The following is a 20099-nucleotide window of genomic DNA, read 5'->3' as shown; positions in this document are numbered from 1 at the left end:
GGCAGGAAACAATGTGCCAATCACTTGTAAAAATAAGAAACTTATAAGATAATTCAGCCTCAAAACAGAAAAATGTAATTATTCAAAAGGTCTACATTCAAAATCCTCTTTCCATTATTTGCACTGAAAAATTTACACAATAATCATCTGCATTTATTTGCACAGTTTAGTTATATTAAATCTTCATTTGTGAGCTGTAAATTTAAAGATAATAATCACCAATAAATAAATGTACATTAAAAAACTGAGAATTTTTACTTGCAAATGAGTCATTATTTCATTAAAATTAGTCACTCTGGAGGGCCATAAGCGAATTTCAATAATACTGCCACTGATCAAGATATTTTTAAACTCTTTTGGAATTAAAATACTATATATTTGTGAACTTCTGGTTCTAGTCCTGACAAAAACTTTGCTTTGGACAAAATACATGAAACAGCTGTGTAAGGGCATTAGAAAGCAACTATCCTCGACAGAACTTCAGACACTATAATCTCCAAGAGAAGGAAAACCACATCAAGGTGAGCTCCTCATTCACCTGACTTTTTTTTTCTGAGGGCATACCAGCAGAAAATGATAGTTCCATTGAAATAAGAGAAAAATGTTGACATTGAGGGCTACCAAAGCAACTGAGCCTTAGGGATAAAAATCTCAGAAAGAAGTGAATTACAGTAAATCCAAAATTTTATATTAATCTCCACTCCTGAGATTTCCCAGTTCCCAAAATGGCATACAGGATTCCAAGAAACCCCACAAAAAGCAGCAGCTGAGAGGCTGACAAGCTGAGCAGAGCCACATTACATTTAGGAGAAATCAATAACACAGTGACTTTTCAAAGAAATTATGCAAGTCAAATATTAACTAAATGAAACCTTTAAAATGCTAAAAGAAAACACCCATGAACCTAAAATTCTATACTGAGGAAAAATATCATTCAAAAATGATGACAAATTTAAGAGATTCATATAAGCAGAAACTGAAACAATGCGCAGCAAACCAGCGCTGAAAGAAATACTACTAAAAGATGTATCTAAATGGCAAATAAATAAATAAATAAATAAATCCCAGATAGAACCATGTAAAAGCATGGTAAAGAGATAATTGAAAAGGGTAAAAGGGTCCAGGCGCGGTGGCTCACACCTGTAATCCCAGCACTCTAGGAGGCCAAGGCAGACAGATCACAAGGAGAGGAGTTCGAGACCAGTCTGACCAACATGGTGAAACCCCGTCTCTACTAAAAATACAAAAATTAGCTGGGCATGGTGGCACATGCCTGTAATCCCACCTACTCAGGAGGCTGAGGCAGGAGAATCACTTTAATCCAGGAGGCAGAGGTTGCAGTAAGCCGAGATGGCACCATTGCACTCCAGCCTGGGCGACAGAGTGAGACTCCGTCTCAATAAAAAATAAAAGAAAAGGGTAAAAGGTTGGGCGCCATGGCTCACACCTGTAATCCCAGCACTTTGGGGGGCCAAGGCGGGCAGATCACCTGAGGTCAGGAGTTTGAGACCAGCCTGGACAACGTGGTGAAACCCCATCTCTACTAAAAATATGAAAATTAGCTGGGCGTGGTGGTGGGTACCTGTAATCCCAGCTACTCAGGAGGCTGAGGCATGAGAATTTCTTGAACCCAGGAGGCAGAGTTTGCAGTGAGCCAAGATCATGCCACTGTACTCCAGCCTGGGTGACATAGTGAGACTTTGTCTCAAAAAAAGAAAAAAGAAAAGAAAAGGGTAAAAAATGTGGGCAAACGAATGAATGTAGACAGAAGTAAAATATAGACCATAGTTGCATAAAAGACAAGAGGGACAAATGTAGTTAAATCATTGTAAAGTTCATGCGATCTGGGGAGTGGTAAAAGAACAAATTTAAGGTAGACTCTAATAAGAGTGCATGTTTTCTGGCACGTGTGGTGGCTCACACCTGTAATCCCAGCACTTTGGGAGGCCGAGGTGGGTGGATCAATTGAGGTCCGGAGTTCGAGGCCAGCCTGGCCAATATGATGAAACCTTGTCTCTGCTAAAAATACAAAAATTAGCCAGGCATGGTGGCGCACAACTGTAGTCCCAGCTATTCAGGAAGCTGAGGCCATGGAGGCAGAAGCTGCAGTGAGCCGAGATCGCACCACTGCACTCCAGCCTAGGGGACAGAGCAAGACTCCATCTCAAAAAAAAAAAAAGAGTGCATGTTTCAAACTCTAGGATAATCACTAAGGGAAAAGCAAAACACTGTAAAACCAACAAGCTAATAGAGGAGCCTAAATGAAATCATTAAAATGCTGGGTTAATTCAAGGAAAATAAGAAAGGATAAGTTGAGAAACTAAGGAACAAAAAGAAAACAAGGACCAAGATGATACACCTACACCTAACTATATCAAAGTGCAAATGGACTAAATAATCCAGATTGTCAGTTTAAACAAAAATAAACTCCCAAACCACAAGCTATAGGTTGATGCAAAAGTAATTGGGGTTTTTGCCATTACTTCCAATGGCAAAACCACAATTACTTTTGCACCATTCTAATATTTATATATGCTACAGACAGAATGTTTTGTCTTCCTCCTGCAAATTCATATGTTGAAACCTAATCCCCAATATAAGCGTATCCAGATGTCAAGCCTTTGAAAAGGTGACTGGATCATGAGGACAGGGCCCTTATAAACAGGATTAATGCCCTTATAAAAGAGACCCCAGAGATCTCGCTTGCTCCCTTCCTCTATGTGAGGACACACCAAAAAGACAGCCATCTATGAACCATGAAATATGCTCTTACTAGGCATTAAATCTGTTTGGCACCTTGTTCTTGCACTTCCCAGCCCAGAACTGTGAGAAATAAATTTCTGTTGCTTATAAACTACCCAGCCTATAGTATTGTTATAGCAGCCTAAATGAACTAAGATAACATATAACACACATTTTCCTTCGGCATTTTGAAGACCCTCCTCTACTCTTCTAGTCTCCATGGTTAAAATCCAATGTCAGTCTGATTCCTGGTCCTTTTTACATGGCATGCTTTTTCCTGTAGTTGAATGCTTGTTAAATCTTCTTGGTCCAATATTCTGAAATTTCACAATGAAATTAGTCTATTTTCATTTATTAGTGTTAGTTTCTTCCTGGGCCCTTTCAATCTGGAAGCCCGTCTCCTTACATTCTGGAAAATTTTCCCAAATTACTTCACAGTGAATTTTTATACTTCAGTTTCTCTCTTATGTGCTTCTGAATCCCCACCAAATAATGCACCTCTTGAAGCTGATCCCTAATTGTATCTTCTCTAATTTTCAACGACTTTGTCTTTTTACTTTATTTTCTAGCAAATTCCCTCAACTTTTTCTTCCAACCCTCCTACTGAGATTTTCATTCTTGCTATCATATTTTTAATTTCCAAGAGCTCTTTTGTGGTATCTGACTGTTTCTTTTTCTACAGTATCCAGTTCCTGTTTCACAGATGCAATATCTCCTTTATCTCTCAGAGGATATTAATGGTAATCTTTCTTCACCCTGTGCAGTCTGTTTCCTACAAAGTGATTTTTCATTTTGGGGAGTAGAATGGGAGATAGTGAAATGTGGCCATCTTTCATGTTAGAGGCATCTTCAAATATCCTGTATCCTTGGTTGCCAGTTCATATTTAAGGGAAAGGAAATAAAAAGTTAACTGGAAGCTCCAAATAGATGGGTGAAGCTTGCTGACCTTATGGTTCACTGCACAGAGATCTCACCGTATCATTTGTTGTGGAGACCCAGACTTCAAGAGTATCAAGTGGGGTAAAGTCAGGAGACAGAAAATATACCAATCATTCAAACAGGAAAAATTTACTATAAAGAACATTAAATAGGTAAAAAGATGGTAAACAACTGAAAATGGAAGACAGCTCTAAGATATAACAGAGGTAGCAACTACAGAACGCAGCTGCCACATTTAAGGCTGAGGGAAAAGTAAACAAGGAAAAAAAAAAAGGCTTAGCAACTTACAAAAGGGGCCCCAAAAGGCTAAGAATACAGATCTATAAGGAAATGTTGGACTACTGCAGAAATATGCTATCCACTGACTGCTCAGTGAGAAAGAATGTTGCTGAAGGTCATGCATCAGAACAAAGACCACTGCTTGCCATGGGAAATACTGTGGGTATCAACTACTTGCAGAGCAGTCTGCCACTGTGATTAAAAAAAAAAACATGAAGAACCACAACCCTTCTTATTCCTAGTAATCTCCCTACTACACTCCTTTATTGGCAGTGACTAACATAGATTCAGCTGACAAAGAAAAAATATAGTTTGCAAGTCCAACTTCAGCATCATAACAAGGGGTTGTAAGGGTGGGTCTGGAACTCAGAGGCAATAAACAACTGGCACAGTTAGCATCTTTAAGGCCTTCCCCTTGTCATGGATTGCCCACACAAAAGTCTTCTAGTCTCCTACTTGAAAGGGGAAAGGACTGGCTGCCAGGATTTTGAGAGCCAAGTACAGGATGAAGGCTGTCAGTCTTCAATACTCAGTAGGCATACTGTCACTTAACTGCCCCCCACCCAGTTTTAATATGGAACCCTTTTCCTCAACTGTGCATGAAATCTCCCAATCCAGAGATGCTCTATTTTAACCCCCCATTGAAAACAAACCTCAAAACTTCTACCAGGAGGAGACAAGAGTGGCCATCAAATGAGATGAAGTAAAGGAGAACCACTTAAAAATATATTCATCCTCAGTTCCAAAGGTATCTGGTGCTAAAAGTCATTATGCCTTTTGAGGATATGTTGTGTAAACAAGGTTAGTTCTCAGCTATTCCTGCTACCACCTTGGGATTCGGCTGTCTCAGCTCTACTAAGCGACAGTTTCCACTCTTTCAATGCCTTGCCAATTTCCTTGTCCTTATGGGTATATGACATTTTATAATCTCTGTATCTTCTTTTTTGTAGTGTTTCAGAGAGAAGCAAAATTAAATGCAGATATTCAATACTCCATTGTAATCCCAAAACTTCCAAATGTTATTTTCAACGTGGTAGCAAATTTTTATCCTTTGACAGTTTGTAAGCTTACTCTGAGGGAAATTCCAAATATTTTTTATAAAAGCCCAATATTATTAAAATAATTATATAATCTGCCCAAGTGCCTGTTGTAGGTACAACATTCATCTAGATGTACATGCTGTTAACATGTGCTTTTAAACTGTTTGCTAATTTATGATATTTAATATTAAACAAAATTGCAAGAAGGATTAAAGATTAATACAAAGATACATGTTCTTTTTTGAGTCCTAACAGTAGCACTGAAATAAATGTAAGAGAAAAATTGGAATGAACACCAACCATGGCACAGATATGATCTTCCTAGTCGTAGCTCAAAGGTTATTAGTCCATTCATCTACCTAAAATTTACATGAAAAAATAGCTATGTTGCAGAGGATAACTTAAGGCATCAGAAAGTCATGCTCACTGTCATAAATCATCTAAAACAGAGCTAGAAATAGACCCTGGTCCATTATCATCTCTACAAAGCCAATAATATATCCAGAAAAAGGTACACTAGGAAATGGCAGTGAACAGGCAAGACTTGGGAACACAAGGAAAAGATACATACCAGTTTGAGTTGCCTGTGGGCCACTCATCAAAGGCCATGAGAGACTTAAGTTATCTACATCATTTTGACCCCCTAAAAAATTTGGTTTCAAATATGTAAACAAAATCACAAAACAAATTACAACCCTCCTTTGCCTACCACAGGCTATCTTCAAGACCCAGGAGTAGGCAAAAACATATCAATACAAACCTTCAAACCCTGAGGCTTCTTTTTCCAATAGCCCACAGTCTATTACTAATTTAGCAAACTCTTATATAATTCCCCATGAATGAAACGCTTTCCAGGTGACCAGAGAACTATAGTTAAAAGTTACCTCTATTGCTCATGTCTTCAAAAATAGAAAACCTCAGAAATATGTTGCATTCATTTATTCACTTATTAAAGTAGCCTAGTAGAGTAAAGAGCAAGCCCCATACAACCCAACAGAATTTGTAAATGGCTCTCAAAATATACTGGTCTAGACTCTCAGTGGTCTTTCTAAACTTAGTCACTCAGTGAGTTCCAAATAGCTTAATACTCAAGGCAGATCAACAGAGTCTGAACACACATTCTGTCACATATAACCTGTGTTCTATTCAGCCACTTTAAGTTTAGCTTCCTCAACTAAAAAATGGAGGTAGTAATATTTCACAAGACTACTGTGAGATTAGTTAAAATAATGAATGTATAATATCTACTTCTGGTACCTAGGACATGGTGGTTAATGAGCAAATAGTAACTATTATAAAATTCCAATTTACTGGGAGGGAGGTGGGGGAGTCAGCCCCCCGGCCCGGCCAGCCGCCCCGTCTGGGAGGTGAGGGGCGCCTCTGCCCAGCCGCCCCTACTGGGAAGTGAGGAGCCCCTCTGCCCGGCCACCACCCCGTCTGGGAGGTGTACCCAACAGCTCATTGAGAATGGGCCAGGATGACAATGGCGGTTTTGTGGAATAGCAAGGGGGGAAAGGTGGGAAAAGATTGAGAAATAGGATGGTTGCCGTGTCTGTGTAGAAAGAGGTAGACATGGGAGACTTTTCATTTTGTTCTGTACTAAGAAAAATTCTTCTGCCTTGGGATCCTGTTGATCTGTGACCTTACCCCCAACCCTGTGCTCTCTGAAACATGTGCTGTGTCCACTCAGGGTTGAATGGATTAAGGGCGGTGCAAGATGTGCTTTGTTAAACAGATGCTTGAAGACAGCATGCTCGTTAAGAGTCATCACCACTCCCTAATCTCAAGTACTCAGGGACACAAACACTGTGGAAGGCCGGAAGGCCGCAGGGTCCTCTGCCTAGGAAAACCAGAGACCTTTGTTTACTTGTTTATCTGCTGACCTTCCCTCCACTATTGTCCTGTGACCCTGCCAAATCCCCCTCTGCAAGAAACACCCAAGAATGATCAATAAAAAAAAATAAATAAATAAATAAATAAAATAAAAATAAAATTCCAATTTACTTTTAAAAATTAACTTAAGTTGCAAGTATAATGAAAAATCTGTCAAAGGCATTTAAAAGTAATAGTGTTAAGTATTTAGAACTATATTTTACAAATGTATACTAAGTATTCTGATTTCAAATTCTGTGACAATATTCAAACACAAATCAGTTCCCAGAGCTAACAGAAATGAAGTCTTTATAGCTACAAGAAGCCTTTTTTCTTACCGAAAAGATGAAAATGTCAATTCTCCATATAATCTCATTAAAATTTGAAATGTTAAGTGTCATTAGTAAGTGGCAGGAATATTTATCCACCAAAGTAAAGTAGAGATTAATGAAAATGGTACCCAAGGCCAGGCACAGTGGCCCATGCCTATAATCCCAGCATTTTAGGAGGCCGAGGCAGGTGGGATCACTTGAGCCCAGGAGTATGGTACCAGCCTGGGCAACACAGCAAGACTCTATGAAAAAAATTTAAAAATTAGCTGGGCATGGTGGCACATGCCTGTAGTCCTAGCTATTCAGGAGACTGAAATGGGAGGATCATTTGAGCCCAGAAGTTTGAGGCTGCAGTGAGCTATGATTGCACCACTGCCCTCCAGCCTGGGTGACAGAGCAAAACCTTGACTCTAAAAAAAAAAAAGTATCCGAGCTAGAAATCTCCTTAAATCTTTATTGTATAATTTCTCAATATCATTGTGACAATGTAATTCTATACCTAGAAAATCCTAGACTCTGTCAAAAGGCTCTTGGAACTGATAACCAATTTATCAAAGTTTAAGGATACAAAATCGATGTACAAAAATCAACAGCATTTCTATACACCAATAACATCCAGGCTGAGAGTCAATTCAAGAACACAATCCCACTTACAATAGCCACAAAAAAATAAAATAAAATACCTAGGAATATAGCTAACCAAGGAGGTAAAAGATTTCTACAAGGAGAACTACAAAATACGGCTGAAAGAAATCAGAGATGACACAAATAAATGCACAAACATTCCATGCTCAGGAACCGAAAGAATCAATATTGTTAAAATGGTCATACTGCCCAAAGCGATCTACAGATTCAACACTATTCCTATCAAACTACTGTCATTGTTCATAGAATTTAAAAAATAATTCTAAAATTCATATGGAATTAAAAAAAGGAGCCCAAATAGCAAAGCAATCCTAAGCAAAAAGAACAAAGCCAGAAGCACCTGATTATCTGACTTCATACTATTAGGCTACAGTAATCAAAACAGCATGGTACTGGTACAAAAACAGACACATAGATCAATGGAACAGAATAGAAAACTCAGAAATAAAGCTGTAAAACTCAGAATAAAGATCAGCTACAACTGTCTGACCTTCAACAAGGCTGACAAAAACAAGCAATGGGGAAAGGACTCCCTATTCAATAAATGGTGCTGGAATGGTTAGCCTAGCCATATGCAGAAGAATGAAGCTGGATGCTTACCTTTCACCATATATAAACATTTACTCAAGATATATTAAAGATTTAAATGTAAGACTTCAAACTATAAAAATCTTAGAAGGCGGCCAGGCACGGTGGCTCAGGCCTGTAATCCCAGCACTTTGGGAGGCCGAGGCAGGCGGATCACGAGGTCAGGAGATCGAGACCATCCTGGCTAACACGGTGAAACCCCGTCTCTACTAAAAATACAAAAAAATTAGCCGGGTGTGGTGGCGGTCACCTGTAGTCCCAGCTACTCTGGAGGCTGAGGCAGGAGAATGGCGTGAACCCGGGAGGCGGAGCTTGCAGTGAGCTGAGATCACGCCACTGCACTCCAGCCTGGGCGACAAAGTGAGACTCAGTCTCAGAAAAAAAAGAAAAAAAAATCCTAGAAGAAAACCTAGGAAATACCTTCTCGGCATTGGCCTTGGCAAAAACAACCTGTGGCTAAGTCTCCAAAGCAACTGCAACAAAAACAATTGACAAGTGGGACCTAATTAAATTAAAGAGCTTCTTCTGCACAGCAAAAAAAAAAAAAAAAAAGAAAAAAGAAAGAAAGAAAGAAAACTATCAGCAAAGTAAACAGACAACATACAGAATGGGAAAAAATATTTGCAAACTATGCATCTGACAAAGGACTAATATCCAGAATCTATAAGGAACTTAAATCACTAAGCAAAAAACAAATAACCCCATTAAAAAATGGCCAAAGGACATGAACAGACACTTCTCAAAAGACAACACACAGGCAGCCAACAAACATGAAAAAATGCTCATCATCACCAAAATCACAATGAGATACCATCTCACACCACTCAGAATGGCTATTATTAAAAGCTTAAAAAAAAAAAAAAAAAAAGATGCCAGCAAGGCTGTGGAGAAAGGGGAACATTTATACACTTTTTGATGGGAATGTAAATTGGTTCTGCCCCTGTGGGAAGCAGTTTGGTGACTTCTCAAAGAACTTAAAGCCACCATTCGACCCAGCAATCCCATTACTATTTCCAAAAGAAAACAAATCATTCTACCAAAAAGACACACGTACTTGCATGTTTATCACTGCACTATTCACAATAGCAAAGACATGGAAACAGCCTGGGTTCCCATCAATGGTGGATTGGATAAAGAAAATGTGAAACATATAATCCGTGGAATACTATGCAGCCATAAAAAAAGAATGAAATCACGTCCTTTGTAGCAACATGGATGCAGCTGGAGGCTATTATCCTAAACAAATTAACACAGGAACAGAAAACTAAATACACATGTTCTCACTTATAAGTGTGAGACAGCAATTTGGCAGGACTGATTTTGCAACGTAAGGGTCACAAAGACCCCACTGATAAAAAATGATACATGATCGCTCCTACTTGTCACAGGGCAAACCCCAAAATTGGGGTTTAGCTGGGAGGCCATGTGGGTTCTTGGCTTCATGCAGGAAGGAATTTAAGAGTGAGCCAACAGAGTAAAGTGAAAGCAAGTTTATTAAGAAAATAAAGGAATAAAAGAACAGTTACTCTACAGACAGAGCAGCGGCATGGGCTGCCTGAGTAAACTTATGGTTATTTCTTCATTATATGCTAAACAAGGGGTGGATTATTCATGAGTTTTTTGGGAAAGGGGTGGGGAGTTCCTGAACTGAGGCTTTCTCCCCCTTTCAGACATATACTGTAACTTCTAGATGTTGCCATGGCATTTTTTGTTGTTGTTGTTTTTTATTTTGAGACGGAGTCTTGCTCTCTCGCCCAAGTTAGAGTGCAGTGATGCGATCTCGGGTCACTGCAATCTCCACCTCCCAGGCTCAAGCGATTCTCCTGCCTCAGCCTCCTGAGTAGCTGGGATTACAGGTGTGCACCACCACGCCTGGCTAAGTTTTGTATTTTTAGTAGAGACGGGGTTTCGCCATGTTGGCCAGGCTGGTCTCAAACTCCTGACCTCAAGTTATCCACCTGCCCTGGCTTCCCAAATTGTTGGGATTACAGGCATGAGCCACTGTGCCTGGCTCACCATGGCCTTTATAAACTGTCATGGCACTGGTGGGAGTGTCGTTTAACATGCTAATGCATTATAATTAGTGTATAATGAGAAATGAGGACAACTAGAGGTCGCTTTTGTCGCCATCTGGTTCTGGTGAGCTTTGACTGGCTTCTTTCGGATTAAGGTGTTAGCCACCATGCCCCACCTAGATTCTGTTATTCTTAAAACTTTGGCTAATCTAAGGAATAGTGTGTTCAATACACTTTAAAAGAGAAATCTGCTATCAAATATGTGTGAAACTATCTATAATATGATTCAGAAAAAAATCAGATTTATACTCTCCAGCTTGATGGTAGAAATGTTCTTACAGAAGAGCCAACATCAATGTTAGTGCTACAGGCAGCACAGGAATAGGCAGCTAAGTCAAATCACACTAAGAGAACAAGAAAGAAGAGGTGGAAAATGGAAATGCTCCAGGTAAACTGGAAGCTGGAATCAAGCAAAAAATCTATAGCAGAAGTACATGCAGGTGCCAAAGTCAAAGCATGATACAAAACTCAATTCTAGATTAAACTAGGACATGAAAAAGATGGCTTCAGGGAGCTATACGGAGAAAAAACCAACAAACTCATGCAGTTTGGATCACTGGCACCAGTCTTCCAGCACAAAGCATTTTTTTAAAAAACAAATAATATCTCAATATTTAAGCTAGAGAATGTTTTACATACTTTAGAATTATGAGCCCAGGAAGTGCATATTAAGAAGAATCCTGGCTTAGAGGTGATGTAATGAAGACAAGATACCTACTTGAATTGGCTCTTGAAACAGATTCTAACACTAATTGGGATAGGGAAAATGACATTAAATAAACAACAAACATCATGCAATGGTCTGAGGACACCTGACTGCCACCACAAACAATTTCTAACTACTCTAAATACCCTCAACCTCTAAGACATAGTAAACTTTTCTTTCAAGGCAGCTCAATACCAAATAATTTCTAAAATCTTCTCTGCTCTTCTCCCCTCTCCCTTCCTGTCCCAGTGAAGCCAACAGCTCAGACCATCTGTGTAGTAACCATAATACCCTGCACCTGACTTCTTCCTAACATGTTCAAATATAAATATGTCTTCATATATCTGTCACCCCAAGCTGACATGCACTTCTTGTAGGCAGACAGAGGAACTATAACATTTTGTATCACCAGAGCCAGCCCAGCAAGGGTTTACACGTGGTAGGCATCAGGCATCTGCCTAGGGCAAAATAATTTAGATGACAGCAAACAAGAAGCACTTAAAACATTTGGAAGTGTAAGACCCAAAAGACAAATACTGAAATCTAAGCCCACATGCAGAGAAGTCAACAAGAGTCAATTCCCATTACAAAACCCCAGAAAATATTAGGAATTCAAGGCATCAGACAATTCAGGAGGCCTGAGTACGGTATGGGGCTGAAAACAAAAGAACTAGTTGAAACTGTTGAAGAAAAACAATCAGAACTCTATGGTTCTTCCTCTATTCTGCCCAGCAAGTAGGGCTAAACATGTGTCCACCACCAATCTGAAAAGAGAATAATTACTCCTAGAGAATTTGGACAAGGCAGGCTCAAGGTTCAGGAACCTAGGTTTTGCTCAGTATCAGGGATGGGCACCAATCTGAAAACAGATTCCAACCCCTGTTCCTACTGGGCAGCCAGGACAACGGCAGAGGCTTCTACCTCCATGCATAATACTGAAGGATTAGTCAAGATAACTAGGTAAAGAGAAAAAGACAAGGATAGTAGCAGTTGGGCTGGGGTTGAAGCAAAAACTTCAAATGAAATGAAAATGTCAAGGTAGCTAATCAAGTACTAGTATAAAGCCCTCTTCTCAGCCTCAAATTTGCAAAACTAAGGCTCAGCAGCCATTTAAACAAAGCCTTTAGCACAAAGCACAAAAGTCAAAACAGAAAGAGTTGAGGAAGAGAGAAAAAGGAGACTCAGAGGAAAAAGAATCCAGCAAGGGAAAAAAAAAATAGCCCCAAAGAGAAAAAGTAGATTTACATCCATGAAGCAAGAACGAGAAGTTATAACGTTTAGATAGTGAGAAAATGCTCTTAGAAAATGAAAATATGGTCAGGAGCAGTGGCTAACGCCTATAATCCCAGCACTTTGGGAAGCCACACTGGGAGGATCACTTGACCCCAGGAGTTCAAGACTAGCCTGCGCAACACAGGGGGACCTCTGTCTCTATAAAAAAAAAAAAAATTTAATTAGTTGGCATGGTGGCTCAATGCCTGCTGTCCAGCTACTTAGGAGGCTGAGGAGGACAAATGGCTTGAGCCTGGGAGGTTGAGACTGTGTCAGAGGCGTATGAACCAGAACAACTCCATCTTAAATAGGAGCTGGGTAAAATAAGGCTAAAACCTACTGAGCTACATTTCCCAGATGGTTAAGGCATTCTAAGTCACAGGACGAGATAGGAGGTTAACACAAAATACAGGTCATGAGAGTGACTTTTGGTTGTCCTCACTGCTACACTCTCACCAGTGCCATGACAGTTTACAAACGCCATGGCAACATCAGGAAGTTACCCTATATGGTCTAAAATGAGGAGGCATGAATAATCCACCCCATGTTTGGCATATCATCAAGAAATAACCATAAAAATGCCAGCAGCTCTCTGGGCTGCTCAGTCTATGGAGTAGCCATTCTTTTATTCCTTTACTTTCCTAATAAACCTGCTTTCACTTTAGGGCGAGTCTATGGATTTACCCTGAATTCTTTCTTGCACAAGATCCAAGAATCCTCTCTTGGGGTCTGGATTGGGACCCCTTTCCTGTAACAGCTGCAGTGAGCTGTGATCACGCCACTGCACTCCAGCCTGGGTGACGGGTGAGATCCCATCTCAAAAGAAATAAAGAAGAAAGAAAAGAAATGAAAATATAAGAGAGAAACAAAAATCCAATAGAAGGCTTGGGAGATATTACCTATATACACCAGAACAAAGAATAAAAAGATAAAGACATAGAAAAGATTAGAAAAAAATGATCAATTACAGACTCAGCCTAGATAGGAGAGGCACCATTCAAGTAACAGGAGTTAAGAGAGGCCGGGCACAGTGGCTCACACCTGTAATCCCAGCACTTTGGGAGGCCAAGGCGGGCAGATCACCTGAGGTCAGGAGTTCAAGACCAGCCTGGACAATATGGCAAAACCCCGTCTCCACTAAAAATACAAAAATTAGCTGGCGTAGTGGTGGGCACCTGTAATCCCAGCTGCTCAGGAGGCTGAGGCGGGAGAATCACTTGAACCCGGGAGGCAGAGGCTGCAGTGAGCCAAGATCACACCATTGCACGCCAGCCTGGGTGACAGAGTGAGAGTGTCTCAAAAAAAAAAAAAAAAAAGAGTTACAAGAACAGAAAAAAACATTAAGGGAGAAAATAATCCTAAAAACAATGAAAAAAAAATCTGAGAATGGAAAAACATTAGTTTCCAGACTGAGTATTCAACACAAAAAATAATAAGGGGAAAAATAGTACATACCTGTTAGATGAAATTATGAAAGGTCATTGTTTTGGACTGAGCTCCTGCACTAGGCCCCAACAGATCAACCAAATCAAAATGAAGTTACTCATGTTAAGTGCCACATACTCAGACTGAAACTTCAATGAAGCAGACAGATCTAAAAAAAAAAAACCAGTTTTTCCTGAACACAGAAGATTCCAGCCTACCTGAGTCAGTGTTTAATAAAAGTCCTCTCTGCTTTAACCCTTACAAAAAAGTAAGCTGATGTTAACCAGTCAAGTGTTTTTTCTATTTTTCCACTTCTCTGTTCTGACCTTACAAAATGCACATTCTGCTACTGCCTAGTTGGAGCTCTCATTCCATTTTGTAGAATGAAGGCTACCCCAATTCATGACTCACAAATAAAGGCCAAAGAGATCTGTAAGTAAATCCGTTGTAATTTTGTCTTTTGACTGAAGCAATGCCTTGAAATGTAGGACAAATAATTCCCAGCCTAGGATTCTATACCCACTGAAATTATCAATAAAGCATGAGAGCAAACTAAAGATCTTTTCAGGCATTCAAACACTCAAAAAAAAAAAAATTGCCTTCCGTGACATTTTTCTCTTAGGAAACTCCCAGAGGATTTCCCAGAGGATAAAAATTAGAAAACTGACCAAGAAAAAGTTTAGAATAGGACCTAGGAAGTAGAGAGGGTTCAAGATGAAAAGAGACGAAGGTCAATTTCATGATTATGAAGTGAGGTACAAAAACCAAAATCCCAAACATTTGTATGGTCTAATAGTTTCATTTCCAGCAAAGAATTTGGGGAGAAATTGATATGTACATGAAAAACTAGGTAAATGAAAAAATAAGTCAAATATTAATTCCAAAGAAAACAAAAAGTAATGCAAGATATAATCATAATATGCTATACAGATAAGCTATGAATTAATCATAATGACATATAAGCCAAATACTAAATTAACCAAAAAAGGTAAATATATTGGAAGAATGAAAGAAGTATGTTTGGAATAGGAAATAATAATAGAGTAGAAGTCTTGATTTATACTGCAGAGTGAATCTATAAAAATAAAATGAGGCTGGGCGCGGTGGCTCACACCTGTAATCCCAGCACTTTGGGAGGCCAAGGAAGGCAGATCACAAGGTCAAGAGATCAAGACCATCCTGGCCAACATGGTGAAACCCCATCTCCACTAAAAATACAAAATGTAGGTGGGCATGCTAGTGCACACCTGTAGTCCCAGCTACTTGGGAGGCTGAGGCAGGGGAATTGCTTGAACCCAGGAGGCGGAGGTTGCAGTGAGCCAAGATTGTGCCACTGCACTCCAGCCTGGCGGCAGAGCGAGACTCCATCTCAAAAAAAAAAGAATGAAAAAAAGTAAGAAATAGAAATATAAGCATGTTATTTTAAAATATGAAAGTATATCCCAGCAGAAACAAAAAACTAAAAAAATTTGACTTCTGAAATATAATTCTTTAAGATAAATACAACTGAAAGAGAAAAGGCATTTTATAGTCCGGTTTTAATGCCTCTTCAAAAATCTATCATCCTGGACTGGATTATAGAACAGAAAAGAAACATTAGTGAGCAAATTCAACCAAAATCTATGGTTAAGTTCATAATATTGTACCAGGCCAGGTGCGGTGGCTCATGCCTGTAAATCCCAACACTTTAGGAGGCCAAGGCAGGCAGATCACTTGACACTAGGAGCTCCGTACAAAACTGGACAACATGATGAAACCCTGTCTCTACCAAAAAAAAAAAATTAGTCTGGCATGGTGGGGTGTGCCTGTAGTCCCGGCTACTCAGGAGTCTGAGGTGGAAGGATGGCTTGAGCCTAGGAGGCAAAGGTTGCAGTGAGCTTAGATTGCTCCACTGAACTCCAGCCTGGGCGACAGGGCTACATCCTGTCCTAATAATAATAATAATTTACAAATATTAATTTCTTCCTTTTAATAATTTTATCATGGTTATGGAAAAATATAACATTTAAGGGAAGCTGAATGAACAAGGATATTCAGGAACTATATACTATCTTATAACTCTTCTAAAAGTCTAAAATTATTCCAAAATAGAAAGTTTTATTTTAAAATCTATCATGAAGTATTTGGAAAAGAAAATACTAGTATTATATTAGTATTAGTATTATAATAAGGCCAGGTACCCACTCCACAACTAAGAAAAGAAACCGTGCCCATACATTTTGTATCCCCTACCCAGATACATTGCACTTAGTATTTACTATTCTTATGCACTGTTTATTTCTACTTTTATTACATAGGTATAGCCATCATACATACACACAGTATTCTTTTGCATGTTTTTACACTTTATAGAAATAGATTCATATAGTGAGTATTCTGCATACTTAGGTTTTTGATTGATGTTATTACATTTATGAGGTCTGTTTGTATTAATATGTGAGCTACAGTTCATTCATTTCATTTTTGAATACTATTTCATTGTAAAATATATCCCATGATTCACAGATGGTCCCTGACTTAAGCAGGTTTTACTTAAAATTTTTCAACTTCATGATGGGTTTATCAAGACATAACCCCATCATAAGTCAAGAAGCATCTGAACTTAAGGTGGTTCAACTTAATGATTTTCAACTTTAAAATATATTTATTGAGGTATTAAATGCATTTTCTTTTTTCTTTCTTTCTTTTTAAGACAAGGTCTCACTCTGTCACCCAGGCTGGAGGCAGTGATGATCACAGCTCACTGCACCCTCAAACTTCTGGGTTCAAGCAATCCTCCTATCTCAGCCTGTTGAGTAGCTGGGACTACAGACATGCTCCACCACACCTAATTCTTGTTTTTGTAGAAACAGGGTCTCACTATGTTGCCCAGGCTGGTCTCAAACTCCTAGCCTCAAGTGATTCTCTCTCGCCTCAGTGTGCCAAAGTGCTAGGATTACAGGTGTGAGCCACAACACTTAAATGCACTTTTTACTTAATGATATTTTCAATTTATCATGAGTTTACTGGGACATAACTCCATTGTTAAGTCAAGGAGCATCTGTAGTTCTCCAACTATGTCTTGTTGGTAGACATTTAAGACATTACCAATTTTTTGCTACTACAAACAATTCTGTGGATGTCTTCATGTGTACATGTGTAGAAGTTTCTCCAGATCAATGGCTTTTGTATATTTTTTTCTTACCATGGCTCAGACTTAGAAATATGCTTTAGATCATAACCCCATACACATAAAATTGAAACAAATCTCATGAAGAAAAAACACTTAATGATGCTACATGCAATTGCGCCAGTTACCAATTTATTGCCCCTCAAAACTAAACTCACCTTTCTTTGCCCTGGTTAGTAATACCTGAGTTGGGGCCTGTGATGGTTACTATTATGTGTCAACTTGACTGGGGCCACAGGATGCCCAGATATTTGATTAAACACTATTCTGGATGTGTCTGTGAGGGTGTTTCTGGATGAGATTAACACTGGAATCAGTAGACTGAATAAAGCAGACGGCCCGCCCCATTGTGAGTGGCCCACATCTGATCTTTTGAAAGCCTGAATAGAACAAAAAGGCAGAGTAAGAGAGAATTTGCTCTGCCTGCCTGATTCTCTTTGAGCTGGAACACTGGTCTTCTGCCCTTTGGGCTTGGACTGGAACTTATACCGCAAGCTCTCCTGGGTCTATAGCTTGCTGACTGCACATCTTGGGACTTCTCAGTCTCCATAATATCTTTTATTTTTATATATAGATGTATTAGTCTGGGTTTTCCATAGAAACAAATATTCCAGAGTACACACACACAAAACGCTTCTCTTGAAAAGAGACTAATACAACCCTATAAACATCTTTCTTTTGCCAGCTCATGGGAGTTGGGCTTTAAGAGAGGGTGCTGAAGGGATCTGGTGTGCTATTGTTTTATTGTGAGCACTCTACTCAGTGGACTTGCACGTTGGAGGCCCAGTAGTGCTTATCTTAGCCACCTTCACAGACTAGCTATGGCCCTTATTCTCTGGCAAGTTTCTCTACCACCTGGAGAGCCACACCTATGAATCTGCTCGACTCATTCATGCCTTTCCACAAGTTTTTCTACCATCCAACAGGTTGCTCCTATAGACCAGCTCCAACGCATGCCCTCTGGCAAGTTTCACCGCCACCAGCAGGCTACACGTTCCTATGGCATCCATGCTCTTTCCCATAAATTCTGAATCTTAGGCTAGAAGGGATAGGAGTTAAGTTCTTAGTTTCTTGCTTGTCCACCCTCTCTCAGCCCTACAGGTAGCAGTTGATTTCTGCATTTGCTATCCCTTTGAGTCTTATTTTAGCCCTTTTAGCAGTTAACTACTTTTTTACTAGTTAACAATTATTTATATTAAATATTCTCTATTCCAATTAGTGTGATTTCTCTCTCTTGATTGGATCATAACTGTTATAACAATATATTTAGATATTTCTTATTCTATTCTTTTTTATTCATGCAGATAAGTGAGCCACTAAATATAACTGTAATAACCCCCTAATGATTTGATGAAGACAGCTTGAAAAACATTTCTCTAAGGTATATACTTAAGAATTAAATGGCTAGGTCATAGGATATGCACATCTAACTTCACAAGATGCAACCAGCATGTAAGCATTCCAATGGAAACATATCTGTGCCAATATCTGAATATGTGAGACATTTCAGTTTTCTCAAACTGATATGTATAAAATCATTTATCATTCTGATTTTAACTTGCTATTCCATGAATGACTCTTTTTCTTTCTTTTCTTTTTTCTTTTATTCTCTCCCTCCCTCCTTCCCTTCCTTCTTTCCTTCCTAACAGGTTCTCATTCTGTCACACAGGCTGGAGTGCAGTGGTACAATCATAGCTCACTGCAGCCCTGACCTCCTGGGCTCAAGTGATCCTCCTGCCTCAGCCTCCTGAGTAGCCAGAACTACAGGCATGCACCACCACACCCACCTAATTTTTTTCTTTTCTCTCTTCTCTTTTTTATAGAGACAGGGTCTCTCACTTGTTGATTAGGCTGGTCTTGAACTCCTGGCCTCAAGTGATCCTCCTACCTCAGCCTCCACTGAGGATTACAAGCATGAGCCACCATACCTGGTCCTCACCTATTATTTATTCTTCTTGGTTTGTAAGAGATCTTTTATATTCTGATTGCTTATCTTTGTTGTATCACTGCAAAAATGTTTTTATCTGTGACTAGATTTTTTATTTTTAAACCTTTCATCCAGTTCACTGATGCATAATTTACATATAGTAAAAAATACAGATCATGAACATACAGTACAATGAGCTTTGACAAATGTAATAACCATGAAACCCATATTTCATCCAGATATAGAACTTTTTAATCACCCTGAAAGTTTCCTCATACTTCTTTCCAGTCAATCCTTTCCAGTAAGCAACTACTGTTCTGGTTTCTATCACCACAGATTTGTAGTGTTACTTATTCTTGAACTTCATATAAATGGAATCAATATGGACTGTAAAATTCTATTTGGGCTCTTTTATTTAATATATTTTTCAGATTCTTCCATATTGTTTAGTTTTATACTTTTATCAACTTTTTTACAAAGTTGTTTTACTTTTTTAAATAAACTTTTTATTAATATGTAACATCCGTAAGTGTGCAAATCATTAGTGTACGGCTAAATTTAAAAAAAAATTTTTTTCAGACGGAGTGTCGCTCTGTTGCCCAGGCTGGAGTGCAGTGGTGCAATACCGGCTCACTGCAACCCAGGTTTTAAGTGATTCTCCTGCCCTAGCCTCCCAAGTAGCCGGGATTACAGGTGCCCATCACAACGCCCAGCTAATTTTTGTGTTTTTAGTAGAGACAGGGTTTCACCATGTTGGCCAGGCTGGTCTCAAACTCCTGACCTCAAGTGATCCGCCCGCCTCGGTCTCCCAAAGTGCTAGGATTACAGGCATAAGCCACCGCACCCCGCCAGCTAAATAAATTTTTAAAGAGTATACATACCTGTCTGCCCACCACTTAGATAAATAAAAACAGTAGCAGCATCCTAAAACCCACTTGTACCTCCTCCAGTCATCAACACACACACCCTTAAAAAGATTTTTTTGAGACAGGTTCTCCCTCTGTCGCCCACGCTAAAGTGTAGTGGCACAATCATAGCTCACTGCAGCCTGGAACTCCTGGGCTCAAGCAATCCTCTCACCTTACCCA

General features: G+C 39.3%; 1 protein-coding gene across 22 annotated transcripts in view, besides 1 other annotated feature; it reads right to left on the bottom strand.

The window, feature by feature from the left end:
• DOCK3 (dedicator of cytokinesis 3) overlaps positions 1-20099 on the bottom strand; it is a 709272-nt gene that overhangs the window by 554069 nt on the left and 135104 nt on the right. The window contains exon 2 of one of the 22 annotated variants that reach the window (XM_047447605.1): positions 13946-14084. The exons of the other annotated variants lie outside the window; for them this stretch is intronic. The gene's annotated coding sequence lies outside the window, so the exon portion shown is untranslated. The remainder of the gene's footprint in view (positions 1-13945; positions 14085-20099) is intronic. 22 annotated transcript variants of the gene reach the window in all.
• Positions 11801-12380: an enhancer, noted in NCBI's record as "OCT4-NANOG-H3K27ac-H3K4me1 hESC enhancer chr3:50855181-50855760 (GRCh37/hg19 assembly coordinates)". NCBI's record gives its function as "activates a minimal SCP1, AML or CMV promoter by ChIP-STARR-seq in naive H9 embryonic stem cells {active_cell/tissue: H9 hESC(naive)}" and the evidence as "EXISTENCE:reporter gene assay evidence [ECO:0000049][PMID:30033119]".

Source organism: Homo sapiens, chromosome 3 (genome assembly GCF_000001405.40).
Source record: "Homo sapiens chromosome 3, GRCh38.p14 Primary Assembly".
Lineage (NCBI taxonomy): Eukaryota > Metazoa > Chordata > Mammalia > Primates > Hominidae > Homo > Homo sapiens.
This window is presented reverse-complemented; position numbering and strand designations above follow the sequence as displayed.